Here is a 20719-nt window from a genome sequence, read left to right on the forward strand (position 1 = left end):
AAATATTCTGGAAGACAGCTGCTTAGAAGCAGCTGTAGTCTGCAGCTCTCATGGAGAAGAATGAAAATTTCGAGTGAATTCTACACCTTCAACTGAGGTAACTGGGTTAACCAGGTTCTGGCTTTGGGACTGACTAGGTGGTCACATGATCCACAGAGAGTGAGGAAAAGTAGGGTGGGGTGATGGTCCACCCAGGAGTGTCATGGAATCAGGGGAACCCCTACCCCTAGCTAAGGGAGGTGGTGAGTGATTGTTTGACCCGGGCCAGGAAACCACATGTTTCTCATGGATCTTTTCAGCCCGTGGATGAAGAGATCCCCTTGTGAGCCCATACCACCAGGGCATTAGGTCCAAAGCACAGAGCTGGGCAGACTCTTGGCAGTTGCTCAGGCACACACAGAGACCCAGGAATTTTTGCAAACTCAGGCCCCTGGAATTCTGGTGAGGCAGATCTGTCCATTTCCCTAGGAAAGGGGCTGAAGTCTGGGAGCCAAGTGGCGTTGTTCAGCAGGCCCTGCTCCCAAGTTAAGACCCACTGGCTTGGAATTCCAGCTGGCCAGAGGCAGCAGGCTGGATACTGCATGAGATGTTCGAGTTCCCTGGAGGAGGGGCAGCTGCTATCTTTGCAGCCTGAGTTTGCTGTTTTGGCCTGCCAGCTCCAGGGAGTCTGGGTGGTCCAAACCAGGAGCAATTCCCCAGAGCAGAGCGCAGCTGCTGTGGCAGATCATGGCCAGACTGCTTCTTTTTTTTGTTGTTGTTGGAGTCTCACTCTGTTGCCCAGGCTGGAGTGCAGTGGCACTATCTTGGCTCACTGCAACTTCCACTTCCAGGATTCAAGCCATTCTTCTGCTTCAGCCTCCCGAGTAGCTGGGACTACAGGTGCCCGCCACCACACCCAGCTAATTTTTGTATTTTTAATAGAGACAGGGTTTCACCATATTGGCCAGGCTGGTCTTGAACTCCTGACCTTGTGATCCACCCACCTTGGCCTCCCAAAGTGGTGGAATTACAGGCGTGAGCCACCACGCCAGGCCCAGACTGCTTCTTTAAGTGAGACCCCAATCCATCCCTCCTCAATGGGCAGGGCCTCCCTTCAATAATTTTAGTAACTCCAGCCAATGTTTCATGGAAAGAACTCTGATCTTTCTCGGTGGAGTCCCTCAGGGGAGGGGTGGCCGTGGTCTTCACAGTTCAGTGACTTACCCTTTCCTGACTGCTGGATCTGGAGAGTTCAGGTGGTCTGGAGGAGGGGGCTTTCCCCCAGCGCAGCATACCTACTCCACCAATGGGCTGCCAGACTGCTTCTTTAAGTGGGTCCCTGATCTCATGCTTTCTGACTGAGTGAGACCTCCCAACAGGGATCTCCAGGCACTTCTTGTAATAGCATTCGGGGCGGCATCGGATGGTGCCCCTCTGAGATGGAGCTCTGGGAGGAAGGAACAGGCTGCCATCTGTACTCTTTTGCAGCTTCACTGGTAATACCTCCAGGTGCAGGGGATACCCGGGTGATTAAAGCCTGGAGTGGGCCCCCAGCCAACCACAGCAACCCTACAGAAGAGGCAGAAGAGAAGTCTGACTGCTAAAAGAAAAACAAACAAATAGAAATCAACAATAGCAGCATCAACAAAAAAGACACCACAAAAACCCCATTCAAAGGTCAGCAACCTTAAAGATCAAAGACAGATAAGCCCACAAAGATGAGAAAGAATCAATATAAAAATGCTGAAAATTCAAAAAGCCAGAGTGCCTCTTCTCCTCCAGATGATCACAGCACCTCTTCAGCAAGGGCACAGAACTAGGCTGAGGCTGAGATGGCTGAATTGACAGAAATAGGCTTCAGACTGTGGGTAATAATGAACTTCACTGGGCTAAAGGAGCATGTTCTAACCCAATGGAAAGAAGCTAATAATAATGATATAAAATTACAGGAGATGATAACCAGAATAGCCAGTTTAGGGAGGAATATAAATGACCTGATGGAGCAGAAAAACACAACAAAACTTCCCAGTGCAATCATAAGTATCAACAGCCAAATAGGCCAGGTGGAGGAAAGAATCTCAGAGCTTGAAGACTGTCTTTCTGAAATAAGACAAGCAGAAAAGAATAGAGAAAAAAGAATGAAAAGACATGAACAAAACCTCTGAGAAATATGAGATTATGTAAAAAAAAAAAAAAAAAAAAAAACCTATGACTGATTGGAGTACCTGAAAGAGACGGGGAGAACAAAACCAAGTTGGAAAACATACTTCAGGATATCATCCAGGAGGACTTCAACCTAGCAAGACAGGCCAACATTCAAATTCAGGAAATCCAGAGAAGTCCGGTAAGATACTCCATGAGATCAACCCCAAGACACCTAATTCTCAGATTCTCCACGGTTGAAATGAAAGAAAAAATGTTAAGGGCAGCCAAAGAGAAAGGCTAGGTCACCTACAAACGGAAACCCATCAGACTAACAGCAGACCTCTCAGCAGAAACTCTGTAAGCCAGAAGAGATTGGGGGCCAATATTCAACATTCTGAAGTAAAAGAATGTCCAACCCAGAATTTTGTGTCTGGCCAAACTAAGCTTCCTAAGTGAAGGAGAAATAAGATTGTTTTCAGACAAGCAAATGCTGAGGAAGTCCATCACCACCAGGCCTGCCTTGTAAGAGCTCCTGAAGGAAGCACTAAATATGGAATAGAAAAACTGTTACCATCCACTACAAAAACACACTGAAGTACACAGACAATGACACTATGAAGCAACTGCATAAATAAGTCTGCAAAATAACCAGCTAGCATCATGGTGACAGGAACAAATTAACACATAACAATACTAACCTTGTATGTAAATGGGCTAAATGCCACAATTAAAAGACACAGAATGGCAAACTGGATAAACAGTCAAGACCCATCAGTGCGATGTATTCAAGAGACCCATCTCACCTCATGTGCAAACACACACAAAGGCTCAAAATAAAGGGATGGAGGAGAATTTAGGAAGCAAATGGAAAACAGAAAAAAGCAGGGGTTGCAATCCTAATTTCTGACAAAACAGACTTTAAACCAACAAAATTCAAAAAAGACAAAGAAGAGCACTACATAATGGTAATGGGTTCAATTCATCAAGAAGAGCTAACTATCCTAAATATATATGCACCCAACACATAAGCACCCAGACTCACAGAGCAAGTCCCTAGAGACTTTCAAAGAGACTTAGACTTCTACACAATAATAGTGGGAGCCTTTGATACCCCACTGACAATATTAGACAGATCATTGGGACAGAAAATTAACAAAGATATTCAGGACCTGAATTCAGTTCTGGATTAAGTGCACCTGATAGATATCTACAGAACTCTCCACCCAAATTCAACAGAATATACGTTTTCTCATTGCCACATGGCACTTACTCTAAAATTGATCACATAATTGGAAGCAAAACACTTCTCAGCAAATGCAAAAGAACTAAAATCATAACAGCCTCTCAGACCACAGCACAATCAAATTAGAAACTCACTGAAAACCACACAACTACGTAGAAATTGAACAACCTTCTCTTGAAATACAAATGGGCAGTCATTAACCCTTAAAGTTTCAAAATGATTTCCTTTGACTCCATGTCTCACATCCAGGTCATGCTGATTCAAGAGGTGGGCTTCCATGGCCTTGGGCAGCTCTGCCCCTGTGACTTTGCAGGGTACATCCCCTCTCCCAGCCGCTTTCACGAGCTCACATTGAGTGTCTGCACATGCTCTCTTGCCTGCCACCATATAAGATATGCCCTTGCTCCTCCTTGGCCTTCTGCAATAATTGTGAGGCCTTCTCAGTCATGTGGAACTGAGTCCATTAAACCTCTTTTTCTTTATAAATTACCCAGTTTGAATATTTCTTCGTAGCAGTATGAAAATGGACTAGTACACATACCTCAAAATAATAACAGCCATATATGACAAAACCACAGCCAATATCATACTGAGTGGGCAAAAGCTGGAGGCATTCCTCTTGAAAACTGGCACAAGGCATGGATGCCCTCTCTCACCACTCCTATTCAACATAGTTTTGAAAGTTCAGGCCAGGGCAATCTGGCAAGGGAAGGAAATAAAGCATATTCAAATGGAAAGAAAGACAGTCAAATTATCTTTGCAGATGACATGATCCTATATCTAGGAAACCCTATTGTCTCAGCCCAAAAGCTTCTTAAGCTGATAAGGAAATTCAGCAGTCCCAGGATACAAAATCAATGTGCAAAAATTGCTGCCATTCCTATACACATCAAGAACAGGCAAGCGGAGAGCCAAATCATAAATGAGCTCCCATTTACAATTGCTACAAAGAGAATAAAATACCTAGGAATACAGCTAACATGGGAAGTGAAGGACCTCTTCAAGGAGAACTACAAACCACTGCTCTGGGAAATCAGAGAGGACACAAACAAATGGAAAATCATTTTATGCTCATGGATAAAAAGAAACAGTATCATGAAAATGGCCATACTGCCCAAAGTAATTTATAGATTAAATGTTATTCCCATTTAACTACCATTTTACATTCTTCACAGAATTAGAAATAAACTATGGAACCGAAAAAGAGCTCATATAGCCAAGATAATCCTAAGCAAAAAGAACAAAGCTGGAGGCATCATGCTACCCAACTTCAAACTATACTACAAGGCTACAGTAACCAAAACAGCATGGTATCAGTACAAAAACAGACACATAGACCAATGGAACAGAATAGAGAACTCAGAAATAAGACTGCACATCTACTACCATCTGATTTTTAACAAACCTGACAAAATTAAGCAATAGGGAAATAATTCCCTATTTAATAAATGGTGCTGGGAGAACAGGATAGCCATATGCAGGAAATTGAAACTAGATCCCTTCCTTACACCTTATGCAAAAATTAACTCAAGATGATTTAAAGACTTAAATGTAAAACCCAAAACTATAAAAATCCTAGAAAAAAATCTATTTCATTTACATCATTCAGAACATAGGCATGGGCAAAGATTTTATGATGAAAATGCTAAAAACAATTGCGACAAAAGCAAAAATTGACACGTGGGATCTAATTAAACTAAAGAGCTTCTGCACAGGAAAATAAACTATAATTAGAGTGAGCAGACAACTTATAGAATGGGGGAAACTTTTTGCAATTTATCCATCTAACAAACGTCTAATATTCAGAGTCTACAAGGAAGTTAGACAAATGCAAAAGAAAAAGACAAACAACCCCATTAAATAGTGAGCAAAGGACATGAACAGATACTTCTCAAAAGAAGATATTCATGTGGCCAACAAACATATATAAGAAAAGCCCAACATCAATCATCCTTAGAGAAATGCAAATTCAAACCACAATGAAATACCATGTCACACCAGTCAGAATGGTGATTATTAAAAAGTGAAGAAACAACAGATGCTGGTGAGATTGCAGAGAAAAAGGAATGCTTTTACACTGTTGGTGGGAGTGTAAATTAGTGAAACCATTGTGTAAGACAGTGTGGCAATTCCTCAGTGATTTAGAAGCAGAATTACCATTTGTCCCAGCAATCCCACTACTTGGTATATACCCAAAGGAATATATGTCATTCTGTCATAAAGATACTTGCACACATATGTTTCTTACAGCACTATTCACAATAGCAAAGACATGGAATCAACCCAAATGCCCATCGATGATAGCTTGGAGAAAGAAAATGTGGTACATATATAGCATGGAATACTATGCAGCCACAAAAGGAATGAGATCATGTCTTTTGCAGAGACATGGATGGAGCTGGAAGCTGTTATCCTCAGCAAACTAATGCATGAACAGAAAACCAAACACCACATATTCTCACTTATAAGTGGGACCTGAATGATGAGAACACATGGACACATGAAGGGGAGCAACACACACTGAGGTCTTGTTGGGGGCGGTGAGAGGAGTGAGAGCATCAAGAAGAATAGCTAATAGATACTGGCCTTAATACCTAGGTGATGGGTTCATCTATGCAGCAAACTACCATGGCACATGTTTACCTATGTTACAAACCTGCACATCCTGCACATGTACCCTGGAACTTAAAATAAAAGTTGAAGAAAAAAAATGTTCTGCCATCCAGGCTTTGTTATTTCATTTATATGATACAGGCAGATTAGATTTATTATAATTTTTAAGGGCCTTAGGATTTTTGGAATGGTCAATGAGCAATGACTGAAGTTGAAACTTAAAGTCACTATGTGTATGAGCCCCTAACAAAGGAGTCAGCTTGTTCTCCGAGGCTTTGAAGCCAGACATTGACTTCTCCTCTGTAGCTATGAAATTCCTAGATGGCATATTCTTCCAATACAAAGTTGTGTTGTGTATATTGAAAATCTGTTGTTCAATTGGATACACACAAACTCAAAGGTGGGAACAATAAACACTGGGGATCCCAGAAAAGGGAAGGTGGGAGAGGGCATGGTTGAACAACTGCCTATCAGATGTTATTCTCACTACTTGGGCGATGGGATCATTAGAAGCTCAAAACTCAATATCATGCAATATAACCATGTAAGAAACCTGCACATGTACCCTCCGAATCTAAAATAAAATAAAATGAAAGAAAAATCTGTTGATTAGTGTAGCCCCCTGTATTAATTATCTTTTTTTTTTTCTTTTTTTGAGACAGATTCTTGTGCTGTCACTCAGGCTGGAGTGCAACGTTGAAATCTCGGCTCACTGCAACTTCTGCCTCCCGGATTCAGGCAATTCTTGTGTCTCAGCCTCCTAAGAAGCTGAGATTACAGGTGTGTACCACCACACCTGGATAATTTTTGTATTTTCAGTAGAGATGGGGCTTTGCCATGTTGTCCAGGCTGATCTTGAACTCCTTGCCTCAAGCAGTCTGCCCACCCCAGCTTCCAAAAGTGCTGGGATTATAGGTGTGAGCCACCACGGCCTGCCAGCATTAATTATCTTAGATCTGGATAACTTGCTGCAGCTTCTCCATCAACATTTGCTCTTTCACTTTGTACTTTTGTTTTATGAAGATGGCTTCTTTCCTTAAACCTCCTGGAGCAACTTCTGCTACCTTCAAACTTTTCTTCTGCAACTTCCTCCTCTCTCTCAGCCTTCATAAAATCGAAGAGGGTTAGGGCCGTGCTCTGGATTAGGCTTTGCTTAAGGAAATGTGGCTGGTTTGATCTATGCAGACTACTAAAACTTTTTCCATATTAGCTATAAGGCTGTTTTGCTTTTTTATTATTCATGTGTTCATTAGAGTAGCACTTTTAATTTCCTTCAAGAACTTTTCGTTTGCATTCACAACTTGCTAACTGGCACAAGAGGCCTAACTTTTGACCTATCTCAGCTGTCAACCTGCCTTCCTCACTAAGCTTACTCATTTTAGCCTTTTGATATAAAGTGAGAGACTTGTAACTCTTCCTTGTGTTTGAATACTTAGAGAATATTGTAGTGTTGTGACTTGGCCTAATTTCAATATTGTTCTGTGGAAATAGGGAGGTCCAAGGAGAAGAAGATATATGGGAACTGCCTATTGTTGGAGCAGTCACAACACACATAACATATATTAATTAAGTTTGCATCTTATATGGGTGTGGTCCATGGCACCTCAAAACTATTACAATAGTGACATCAGGGATCACTGGTCACTGTAACAAGTACAATAATAATGAAACAGTTGAAAATATTTTGAGAATTACAGTGTTGTGAGAATGTGGCACAGAGATGTGAAGGGAGCACATACTGTTTGGAAATGGTCCTAAGAGACTTATTTGATGCAGGACTACCAAAATCTTTAATTTGTTAAAAAAAAAAAAGCAGTATCTGTATAACACAATAAAGTGAAGTGCAGTAAAACAAGGTATGCTTGTATTTATACCCTTATGTTCATAGCAGCATAATTTGCGATAGCCAAAGGTGAAAACAACCCAAACGTTCATTGACAGCTGAATGTATAAACCAAACGTGCTATATACACACAATGGAATATTATTCAGCCTTCAGAATAAATGACTTTCCAACACATTAAAACATGGATGAACACGGATTGAAGATATTATGCTGAGGGAAATAAGTCAGTTACAAAAGGACAAGCACTATATGAGTACACTTATATGAGGTACCTAGAGTAGTCAAATTGTTAAAAACAAAAAGTGAAATAGAAAAAAAAAACAAATTGATAGAAACAAAAAGGTCTCCAGGAGCTTAGGAAAGGGAAAATGAGCAGTTATTGTTTAATGTGCATAGTTCCAGTTTAGGAAGATGAAAAAGCTCTGTAGATAGTGAGATGGTTGCAAAATAGTATCAATGTACTTTATGTTCCTGATCACTAATGCTACATAACTAAAAAATGATAAAATGGTAAATTTTATGGGAATTCCTCTATTGGAAAAGAGGCAGAAGCTGTTGTTTTTATTATTTACATACATTACAAATGTAACTTAAAAATGAGATTGATTTTGTGGCTTCTTGAGAAACCAAATGAATAAAAATGGAACTAAGGGGTGTCAATGATAAACACAGCCAAACATTAGGTAAATTGTTGAGAAAAATACTTTAGTTGGTAATAACTATTGCAGTAGGGAAAAAAATCCAATGTGAACTTAAGTCAACTTAGATTCATACAGAATGACTGGGCATTTTAAAGGGAGGATGAGGAAATAGGGAGAGGGTGAGTGGAAGCTCAATAGTGCCAAGGAAAGAAAAAAAAATTTAAAAGTGAGGAGTTTGTCCACGGGAAACACACCTGGGTTTGCTAACTGGCACTAACTGGCACTTGTGGGAATTAGGCTGCTCTTTTCCCACAGACACTGAGACAGGGGCCCTAATCGTCAGGTGTTGGCTGAAACAAACTTTTGATGATCTTGAGTTTTTTCAGGAAGGCACTTTAAGAAAGGCTAATATCATCCTATGTATGCAGCCTTGAACTGTTTGAAATGATCGAAGTGTTTGTTCAAGTGTTTATAGGCCAAAATTGGCAGGTATATTCAAGAAATAGGCTCCTCTGAGACAGGCTAGAGTTTGGTAAAAGAGAATCTTTTTTAGAGGTTAAGCATCTTCTATAAGTCATATATTAAGGAAATTACACTTCCTTGGGATCTGAATTATAAGGGGAACTCAGTAGGTCAAGTGTAAGTTTGTAATAAGCCAGTAGAATGATTACAGTTTTTCTCATTTTTCTGGTCACACATGCTTACAGTCACTTAAAAATACAGGTATTTGCCATCACACAGGCTTACCTTTTTATAAGGGTTAGCTGCTATATCTTTATCCAAGAATGTCCATTCCCTCCTCTGAAAATTTTTAGACTCATTGTACCAGCCTTCAATTACATTTGATCATGAGACAGGATAAGATGACAATTGTATATTTCCTTGACATTTACTATCTGAAAAAAGGAAATAGGGCTGGGCCGTACCCTACAAGAATATTTTTCTCATTTTTATTTTACAAATGCTTCACTGATCATCTAGGCAACATCTAGAGGGGGTAAACTCAGTTATATCCCTGTTGGCAATCTTCTTTCTTTCTCATTGATAAATAAGTATGTGGTGCCCAGGTTCAGTGATAAGTTGATAGCAGGAGATGATAAACAAGCGTTGAAATCAGATCAACCAACCTTTCAGTCTCTGTCTCTTTCAAGCTAATGGAGATGAGTGAAACCAAATCAGAGAAGCTTAAGTATTGTAACAGGGTCCATGGCTACTCTGAAGCCATTCTATTCATTATGTAAGGACCATGAAATAAGCATCTGTTCTATTTAACCATCCACCTATGGTGTGGGCTTTTCATCCAGCATGGTATTTAGGAATGATCTTCCTTTCTGTGGGCCAGGGAAGATGCAAATTGTCAACTTATTGAACCCAGTCCCACATTGTTTCCCAGGGCCACAGTTTTTCAGTCAAATACTCATCCACCACTCCACCTCCACCTCCTCCCACATCTCAGGCACTTTTTGGTAGAGTGGCCATGTCTTCCAGTTCAGAGTGTCCCAAGGTATGTGAAAACTAAATCCAGGAGGTCTACCTAATGATAGACTTGCCTTTCTCTACACAATATCTGAGTTCCTTCTCTGAAAAACACCCTGCTACCTACACCAAGGAAATTAATACGGCTAAGGAAAACACATGACAGTGTATTCATTTCTTGTCTTTACAACAACCACCAACAGTAGCCAACTCAGCTTATAGTGTTGCTTCTCTGTGATAGGCAACATAAGTCTTCAAAAGGCCATTCAGATTTCTGCCCCATTTTAAGAGAATATGAATTTAAGTAATTCAAAAGCCTGACATTCTGTCACAAGGGATTGTGAGGAGAAGACAAGAAAGAGAAAGAAAGTTAAAAAAAAAGAACTATTATTTCCTGCCCTACCTGTTCATCCCTATCTCTGGTAGTTTCCATCCTCAATGGGGTAGTGAGCTTTAGAAATATCTAGATAGATATGGAAGCAGCTAGAAAATTGGCGGTATTTGTATACTTTCCTCAGAGAATAAGAAAGAGTAAGAAAACTTTGAGGGAAGACTTGAGTTAATGTTTTACAATGTGTCCTTGGTAAAGAAATAAATCAAACTGCTAGAGCCCATGTCCTTTAATATGGCTTGGGTTAATAACTTTTCAGATACCGTAGAAATGGCACACAAAATTGCTAAGGGTGCTCAAGAGTAAACAAGAGGTAGAGAAAATCCAAGATAACAGTATTTTATTTTAATTTGCAAAGACAGATTTTAAAAAGTATTGTACTGCATTAGACCAAATTTGCTCCATTGAATTCAAATTTATTTTATTTTTTTTTCAAATTTTTTTTCTCCACTATTTAACAACAAGACTAGTGAGGAAAGTTAGCTCAATTCATAGAAAATAAACAAATCAATATTTTCCCTACACTTTTCAGTGTAATGTTAGCCATTTGGTGATCTGCAGAGTCAGTTTGATAGGGCTGTGTTGGGCTGTGCCCACAGTGGAAACCTTAGCCACCACCACCTACTACTGATGAAAAGCACCAGCCAGTCCTCTTAGTTCCTGCACCCAATGTTGCTTTCTAAAGAGCTACTTTTAAGAGCTACTTTCTTTAAGAGCTACTTTTACTTGCTATGTATTTTTAAGGTGGATGTGTGATAAAATAAGGTCATATATGTGTCTATATACAAGTAGTACACTTGAGAAATAAAAACAATTCTTGACGAGTTACAAATGCTAAAGCGTACAATATGGTGGAATCCTTTTGTCATAAGAGTTTTGGAGAATAGCTAAAAGAGCTTAGTTTTATTCAGTTTTGCTACTGAAAATTAATTTGTCAATGATATTGCTCAAAGATTACCAATAATCTATAGATATAGAAGTCCCATTAGTACTTTTTATTATTTTATAATAAAATATTCTTGTAGATATTTTTAATATCCACTTGTGTAGAAAGTACTAATGGCTTTTCTGAAAACTAGCAGTGAACCTAATTTACATGGTTATCGTATTGCCATGAGATGGGCTCACCTTTGACCCCTTAAAAATGTTCTTATGGGCAGATCAGAAGAATTGCCTATCGACAATTCCTAAAGCTAAAGAAATCCTAGCGGTAATATATTGTGGGTAGCTGAGACAACTGCATTGAGTGGAAACCATCTAAGCATCTAGCTGCCTGTCCAGTCATTATTGCATTGCTCAAATATTCTATAATTTTTAGAGCTTTGATTCCCTTATCCTTGGTGACCTGAATTTGGAACCTATAAATGTGAATATTCAAATTAAATAATAATAATAATAAAACCTGTGTATTAGACCATATTTCACTGTCAAGTATGGGTACATATGCAAATACAGACTGTATGATGTAACCTCATCTTGCCAGGAAATTAACAACCTCTGGAGAGTTTTGAGCACATTGGGCCATACAGAGCCGCTACATATCCCTGCTTGCAATTTTCCACTCCTGTTCTTTGATCTGTATCAGTTTACACTGCTTTGACATCATTTTGGCCTTTTGCGCAGCATCTTTACTCCAGTTCTATAGAGGAAGAGTAAATATCAAACTCATGATCTTATTAAAATTTCCATGATAAGTCTAGGTTATTTTTTAAAACCACATCTAGCAATATCCTCAACTTATAAGCTAAAAATTTAAATAATGAAATTACTCTTTTATTTATGGTAGAAAAAATAAAACATAGTTCGTTAAATTCACAAATTCAAAATTTGATAATAACAATCAGATTAGCCTCTCTTTCTGATGTAGTAAAGACTTAAGGAAATGCTTTCAGTAGATCTACCAAGATAGAAATCCATCACATTATTTATTTGTAGTTTTACCTCTGACACATTATTTTATCTCGATATCTCAGTTTCTTTGACTCATAGTTCATATTAAAACATTTGTTCCAAAGGCTTAATGTGATAATCAATGCCATATAATTATTATATGGCAAATCCTGAACTATGTCCTGAATTAATAAATGATAACTATGATTGGAAAGCAGTATAGTATTGGGCATCTATATTTAAAATTGTGAATAATAAAAATTAATAGGTAACACAACACACTAGAATCTGTTTTTAAGTCTGCAAATATTTTTTCTTACTTTTTCCTCACAGCAACTCCAAAATGGAAGTACTATTGTTATCTCCGTTTACAAATTAGGAAACTGAGGCACAGATATGCTCTTGGGTACTTGTCAGCAGCAGTTGTTCTACAAGTAAGGTGAAAAGTAGAACCTCTTTATCACTAGGTATTGGATAAATAATTTCCCTAAGATTGTTTCATCCTCTCATTCTCTACATCGATTTAAAGGACTGCCACTATATTCACATGCAAAACATTGCCAAAAAAAAGTGTGAACATTGTTTTTTCAATAGGCTTTTATGTAAGTTATTTAGCTACACATTAGAATAATTTTAGAATGACAACCTAACTTAGAATTTCAGTATTTTCTCTTTTAGTGGAAGAAGTCTTAATTATGATATGTGTGTGCTGCCATCTGATGATAACTTTCTAGGACATTTCATGTTAATGAATTAACTAAACTACAGGATGAATGAAATAATTCATTAGCCTGACACTGTGTAAAGACATGCTTGTCAGGTTTTAATTTCTTCATGCAAGAAAAGACACATTTGTTACAGCCTATGTCTAAGGAACAGAGATACAACACCATATTCACTTCTCCCAGGGTAGGGAATATTGTCGCACTTGTTAATAAAGATAACTTTCCTATTACGACCAGGTTACCATATACTTAGAACAGGAACTTACCTAGTTAAATCCCAACTGACTGCTTGTTATGGATGCAGTGCATCATCATTCTGAAGGGCATATTCGCCCAGCAGCTGGGAGTCCTGCCCAGAAGCAGCTCTACAGTCTGCCCTTTCTGAAAGTTGCCATAATCCCTTTGCTGGGCAAGCCCACTTGGAGAGTTGGTAGACGTACATTTCAGGCTTATAATACTTTCTAATGTCTCCTTTGTACTCATCTTAACTCCCCAGGAATAAGGTTTCTAAAACCTTATTTTTAAATAAAAAAAATGAGAAAACTTATTTTTAAATGAGCTCATGTAAGGCTACATTTTTTATTGATTCTTCAATCTTGTTAGTACTAACTAGGCACACTTACTTGCTCATCTGGCAGCCAAGGAGTTTGGACCCCATTTGTCCTAAGGAAGAAAAGTGGTTAAGAGCAGAATACCTGTAGCTGGCCCACTTCCATTGGAATATGGGCTCCAATGCTTATAACTGGATAAGGTGCTTAATTTTTCTGAATGTTAGTGTCATTATCTGTAAAATGGAGATGGTAGTATTATCTACCTTACAGGATTATTGGAAGAATTAAATGAGTCATTGTAAGAAGGTACTAGAAAATTGCCTGTCAATAATAAGCACCATATGCGTGTTAGTTAAAACCCTTCCAACAGGGGAGTGCTTATGATAGCTATTGATTTGTATTGTTTTGTTCAAATGACATTTTGAATTCTAAGATGACCAAGATTAAAATTTTGAAATTCTTTTTTATTCTTTTGTTTCCTTCTTTATGTGATTTGTGTGAAGAAGTTGTTCATTAGAATCACCCTCCAGGGCCTGCACTATTTCTAACTCTTGTTCTTTAGGCCAGTCCAGGGTTCAAGAAGCAGGCTGAAGGTGCTCATAAACCTGAGTGATACTGCTGGCCAATGAATGTGAGGCTAATTACCTCATGCGCCTGATACTTTCCTAAATTGGTCTTGTGGAAGAACATAGGTTTAGAGTGGAAAGACATTTTCTCTAAGCTCTTATGAAATGCAATGAAACTAGAGAGTAAATTTACCTACATTTGTTTATCTGACAACATCAACAGGCTAAATATCTGGATATCTTAAATCTCAGATGAGCGTCTTAGCCTCTGGATTACTGCTCAATGAGGAAAGCTATGAAATGCATGGATAACTTGCTAATCAGTATTTGCCATATGTGCTAGCAGCATCAGCATCAGTTGGGAGATTATGGTGGCCTCCATGTCAGACCTCCTAAATCGGAATATCAGAGAAGGTGGCCCAGGTAAGTGTGCTTTACTAAGTTCTTCAGAAGATTCTTAAAGACAATGAAGTTTGAGAAGCACTATCTTAGGGTACATAAGCATGAAGCTAGACTGGCGGAGCTCTGTCATTGACTAACTGTATGATGGTGAGAAAGTTGCTTATCTCCTCTGAGCTTCTATTTCTTTTTCTGTATCATACGTTTGTTGTGAAGATCCAACTTTTAGTATATTGCAAGTGCGTGGAACTTTACAAAAACTCAGTAGACATTATTACTATTATTGCCAATATTGATGTTGCTGTTTTTTAGGTCTTACCATCTGCAGCATGTTGCTGGCTGGTGAAATGACGCCTCTCCTGAGGGTGTTATATGCGTTAACAATTTATTCTTGTACAGCTGGTGATTCAATGTTTGTTATTTAAGTGGTAAAATTGTTCACTACATTTATTAAATATTTAAATGGTAAATAATGTAACTGCAAATAAACAATAGATAAAACCTAAAAATGCTGCATAACAAGGCACCAGTTGAGATTGCTTTTAACAATTTTAGAATCCATAGTAGTAAATATACTGTAAATGTATGTGCAGGTATATAGTTTTCCATAGCTATACCTTATTTAAGTTATAAACATGTATATTTTGCATAAATTCCTTATATATGGTTTTTAAAAACAAATTGATGAGAGGGCACAGAGTTGGTGCTCATTACGTCTAACCTCAGAAGCAGGAGACAGATTAGTTTACTTAGTCTGTTCCATTTTTAGAAGCAATGATTTTTTTTGAAAAGGTTTAAATCATCAAGTTTCAGCTAAATTTTTAGAGTGATCCAGATAAAGGGAGACAAAGGAGGATGAAGGCTCATGCAATCAGCTGACATTTTTCTTAGGCTGATTTATTTAACATGTAGTTCAGCCTCCACAGTATTCTATTTCTTTCAAGGTGATTTACAGAATAATTGTGTGTTTTACAATTAATGGCATCTTCTATTAATGAAATACTTTAATATATTGATTGTCATTCCTAGGTTACCATGCTTCATCTGCCAATGCATTGAAAACTTGGAATGTAAATTAATTCAACCATTGTGGAAGATGGTGTAGTGATTCCTCAAAGACCTAGAAGCAGAAATATCATTTGATCCAGAAATCCCATTACTGTGTATACACCCAAAGGAATATAAACCATTCTATTACAAAGATACATGCGTGCGTATGTTCATTGCAGCATTATTCACAATAGTAAAGACATAGAGTCAACCCAAATGCCCATCAAAGACAAACAATATGTGGTACATATACACCATGGAATACCATGCACCCATAAAAAGGAACAAGATCACATTTTTTGTAGGGACATGGATGGAGCTGGAAGGCATTGTCCTCAGCAAAATAACATAGGAACAGAAAACCAAACACCCCATGTCCTCACTTATAAGTGGGAGGTAAACAATGAGAACACATGGACACAGGGAGAGGAACAACACACATTGGGGCCTGTTGGAGGGTGGGGTGGGGGAGAGAGAGCATTAGGAAAAGTAGCTAACTCATGCTGGGCTCAATGCGTAGGTGATGGGTTGATAGGTGCAGCAAACCACCATGGCACATGGTTACCTATGTAACAAGCCTGCACATCCTGCACATGTACCCCAGAACTTAAAATAAAAATAAAAATTTAAAAAAACTCAAGAAAAAGAAAATTTGATTTCTCATTGTAATATTGAAAATATAAGTTAATAGATGGTAAATTGCAGGATATTTACATCATTAGAAGCAAGTTTTGTGACCGATAAATGTTTGTATGGGACAAAATTCTAACCAGCCTATGGAGGTTGAGGAGACTTCCCTGCTATTTTCACTAATTTTACCCAGCTTGTCTTTCACAAGTATGAATCTTGATGACACCATATGACCCCACATCTAGGTCAACCTGAAATGTGTGTTTTATTGAAGCAAGTTTTTGCCTATGTTTACTGTAGAGATAATTTTATATCCTCCTATATCCTGCTGTTGCTCTTGGGCAGTTTTCGCAGGTTTTGTGGGTGAAGATGTCCTCTGACTGATTTTCTGGCAATCCTTTGATGGCTGCTAGCTTAGGCCAACTTCCCTAGAGTGATGATTAAACTAAAGGTAAGAAGATATCAATACAGACTGTTAAAGTCAAGAGAGTGCATTTTGAAATCAACTTTGAAATATGAGACAACCAATAATCTATTATTTATTCTATTAATAAGATGTTGAGAATTTAATCAAATTCAATTCACCTTTCTCTTGAAAATATACGTAAAATATACATTTTACTAGGCTTGTGCAGAGACAAGATGCAAAGATACGCAATCATTTATATTTCTATAAGCGAATTTAATCACCTGTTTCATGAACAAAATGATGAATTATTCACTCATTTGATATTAACATACACATTTTATGAAGTAATGGTCTTCATTTTGAAACAACCCATGAACTACAAAGTTTGTATTGTAAAAAATTTCCATGAACTTTTAGGATTGTTCTTAAAGGTAAAAAAGTGTCAGTGCAATTCTATTTACTCTGCAGAGTAAATAGAACTCTACAGTGCATTGCACTCTACAGTGCAATGCAGAACAACTTTTTTTTTAAATTAAGAGATTCTTATTCTATCACTTTGTGGAAAGATAAGTAATGCATACATTTTAACATACCTCTTTATCTATTATTATATTGGTTTCTACATCTATCTAGCTATTCTCTTCTCTAACATATTACTATTACATAAATATTAAGATAATTTAGTTTTATTGAATTTTCATTTCTCCAATATGGACATTTGTTGTTTCCTAAGTGAATGCAAAGTGCATTAGATATCATAGGGACAAAGTAAAATGGCTAAACCACTCAAATCACAAGGACATATTTTCTGTAGGTATTATGCATACTGAATACCTCCTTATCTCTGTTATTAGTTATTATTTCAGGTAAGCACAGAATAGGACAAACCCATGATGTGAGGTCCTACATGGAAATTTTAATTTTATTAAATTGAAGTAAATAAGAATCGTTACAAAATAAACAAGGCAAATCATCTCTATCTCAAACTAATCCTAGAAGAGGACTGATATGTTGCTGAGATTCACTTGTGTTTCATATTCTCTTAGAATCCAAATTGTAGCTGCAATTACCTTGCATAACAAAAAATTATGTTCTAAATTTTTTTGTTTTTCATAAAGTGCTTCAAAAATGATCCTTCAATAGAATTTTAAAATAACGATGAGGAGCTAGAGATTTCAAATCCACAATAACAAAGTTAATTTTCTAATGATACTTCATTACTAAGATTTTCTTAATTTTAGTCTTAGGGAGATTTTTTTAAATCATTAAATAATGTAATGAATTTGTTAATAAAAACTGGAATACAACTTCTACATGCCTGCATAATTATCTTCTAATACACACACGCAGGAGCCTCATTTTCCTTTATGAATTTTGATCACTGCAGAATTTATACCTTCCAAAAGGAAATAGAAGAATGTGACTAAAACAAATTCGATTTTCATAAAACACACCTTTCTTTATTCATCACAGTTATGCTATATCCTCTAGAGATCTGCGTAATGTAAAATAGATTTTCTCATTAAATAACTGCACATGATTGAATAATGTTTAATGTCTTTAAAATGTACCCTCTGTAATACATCATGCGATATCTTTTACTGCCATACAGGATACAGGCGGGGGAGGAGAGATTTGTAGTCTGTATGGGGTCTAGCTCTAGCAAAGAAAAGGAAATATAATATGTGTTTTTAGTTCCAGCATTAAGTAGGGGAACTGAGGAAAGTTAGATAGAACTAAGGAAGATAGAACTGAGGAGAGTTAGATAGAGATTAGATAGAACTGTGTAAAGGGACACGGATCATTGATTCTCATAACCTTAATAGAAATATCCCTTAAGAATATACGCATTCCAGAAAATGGCCAGACATCACTAATTTCCTTATAAGGTGGAAATTTAAGTAAGACATACTAATTTTCTCAACTTCCTCTACCCCTAGAGATGACAGAAATTAGACCTGAATTTTAATACAGCCTTTTTTTCAATTATAAAAATTGATGTGCCCAAGTATGTTTAATTATTTTGTTTTCTTGAGGGGCACAAGTAAATAGCCTCATTAGGAGATGTCCAAAGTTCATGGGGAAAAGATAGGCTGCTGTACAGGATTTTTGTTGAACTATCTATCTTGCACTCATTCCTGTTGAGATCAAGCCAGTGATTGAGATTAGGATGGATGTAACTGGGGTAGCAGTGGGGAGGGGAATGAACTTTGATGAAACAAGTGCTGGCCAGGTCTGGAATTTAGGTCTAAGAAGTCCAAAAAATAAAATGTCAAACAAAAGGAAACATCAAAAAAATAAAAGATGGCAAAAGAAACTTGTACCTTGATCATGAGACGGGTGTCCTGGAAATAGATTTAGAGCATCTGCTGCTCTTACTTTGGCAATTGTAGAGTAATTTTAGAACACTGCTGGAGGCATGCTGAAGTGGGAAGCCAAAAACCTAGAACAACAAATATATTTAAGTCTGGCAGCCTCTATGCCTTGACAATTAAAATAGTTGTAGCAGAGAAGGAAGAAATTATGAATACAGCAGCAGAGAGGTTACCTTGTGAGAAGGAATAATTGTCCATTTGCAGGAACAGAGAAAAGGGAGGAAGAGACCATTAACTGCAACATAAAGCGTCTCACGTCTTGTGACTTTCTTCAACTCAACCTAAAGCAGAAAAAAAAATAAATAAATAAAGTGAGAAGTCTTGTCTGATGCCTTCAGATATGCCAACAAAGCCAAGAAATATATTGATTCAAAAATATTTAATCTTATGAGAGGAAGATAACAGTGGAAAATCATATACTAAAAGAAACTGAACTATTTAAAAAATCAATACAAATTGTAAAAAGCACAAAGGTTGTCAAAGAAATAAACATAATGGAAATCTAAATAGTGATCAAGCTACTATAAAACATAACTGCTTAGCGATATTGGAAATGAAATAAAAAAGAGTTAAAATAAAAACTCAAAAGGATAGGTTGCATAGTTCATCAGTTATATAAATAGGTAAAGAAAGAGTGAGTGAGTTGAAGCAAGGAGGTGCAATGCTTTCAGAATGCATCGAAAAGGGACAAAGAGAGAGAATGATAACAAAGTCAAGATATGTGAAAACTAAAAGAAATTATCAAGATCCACCAGTGATAGTCATAAAAAGAGAGAAAGTATAAATAAATGTGACAAAGTATTTGAGAAAATGATTATGTATCATGAAAAGTAACATAAGATCTCACATAAAAAGAGGATTATGCCAGGAATGGTGGTGCACTCCTATAGTCCCAGATACTCAGGAGGCTGAGGCAGGAGTAATACTGGAGCCCGGGAGTTCAAGGCTCTAGTGCACTATGATCGTGCCTGTAAGTAGTCACTGCACTCCGGCCTGGGTAACACAGCAGGACCCTCACCTCTGAAAAACAGAGGGAGAGAGAGAGAGAGAAAGAGACAGAGAGAGAGAGAGAGGATCATGCATTATGCAAAACAGCTAAGATTTAAGACACATACCTAGAAACATCACAATGAATTTAAATAACACAGCAAGAAGGAAAATTGTTTAAAGTTTTCAGAAAGGAAAAATAAGTCACATATAAGAGAAAAGACCTAGATGGATGTCTAGTTTTCAAAATACTCCTGGGTATTTTAAACAACTTTGTTAAGTAATTGCAGCTATATTTTATACTTTGAATGATTGCAGTCATGACAGGCATGTTACAATGGCTTCTTTGTACATAATATACATTACTTTTTATATTTGTTTAGCAGCTCCTTTTATCAGGTTTAATAATTTCACTTCCATTCTTAATATATTAGGAAATATCAAGAGATTAGTCCAATTAAAATTTATTAGCCAGTATGAATGAAGAACACGTTAAAACTCTATTAAACAGATTTTTTAAAAAATCTGGAAAAATAACTGACATACATGTTCATGGGTGAGATGGTCTGGCAATGAAAGAAGCAAATTTTTCTCAAACAATCTATAAATAAATACAAAGACAATCATAATCCATAGGATTTTTAGAGGGTGGATAGATGAACATATTGTAAGTTTTAAATGGGAAAATAAGAACTTTTTAATAGGGAAATTTAAGAAAGATAATAAAAGAAGCCCCTCACCCTATCAGATATTAAGACAAATATGAAGCTTGAATATTGAAATCACAGAGAAAAAGGCATAGA

At 37.2% G+C, this 20719-nt stretch overlaps 2 long non-coding RNA genes across 2 annotated transcripts; one reads left to right on the forward strand and one right to left on the reverse strand.

Moving 5' to 3' along the window:
• Positions 1 to 6706: 6706 nt before the first annotated feature.
• LOC101927020 (uncharacterized) lies at positions 6707 to 15670 on the forward strand. The gene is made up of 4 exons (NR_125839.1): positions 6707 to 6760; positions 12558 to 12658; positions 14319 to 14489; positions 15495 to 15670. It is a non-coding gene; the product is annotated as an uncharacterized LOC101927020 (long non-coding RNA).
• LOC101927048 (uncharacterized) lies at positions 10660 to 19933 on the reverse strand. The gene is made up of 5 exons (NR_110843.1): positions 19777 to 19933; positions 19103 to 19210; positions 18879 to 18997; positions 13573 to 13612; positions 10660 to 11973 (listed from the first exon to the last, which is right to left on the reverse strand). It is a non-coding gene; the product is annotated as an uncharacterized LOC101927048 (long non-coding RNA).
• Between the last annotated feature and the right edge of the window lie 786 nt (positions 19934 to 20719).

This window comes from Homo sapiens, chromosome 6 (genome assembly GCF_000001405.40).
Source record: "Homo sapiens chromosome 6, GRCh38.p14 Primary Assembly".
In the NCBI taxonomy this organism is placed as follows: Eukaryota; Metazoa; Chordata; class Mammalia; order Primates; family Hominidae; genus Homo; species Homo sapiens.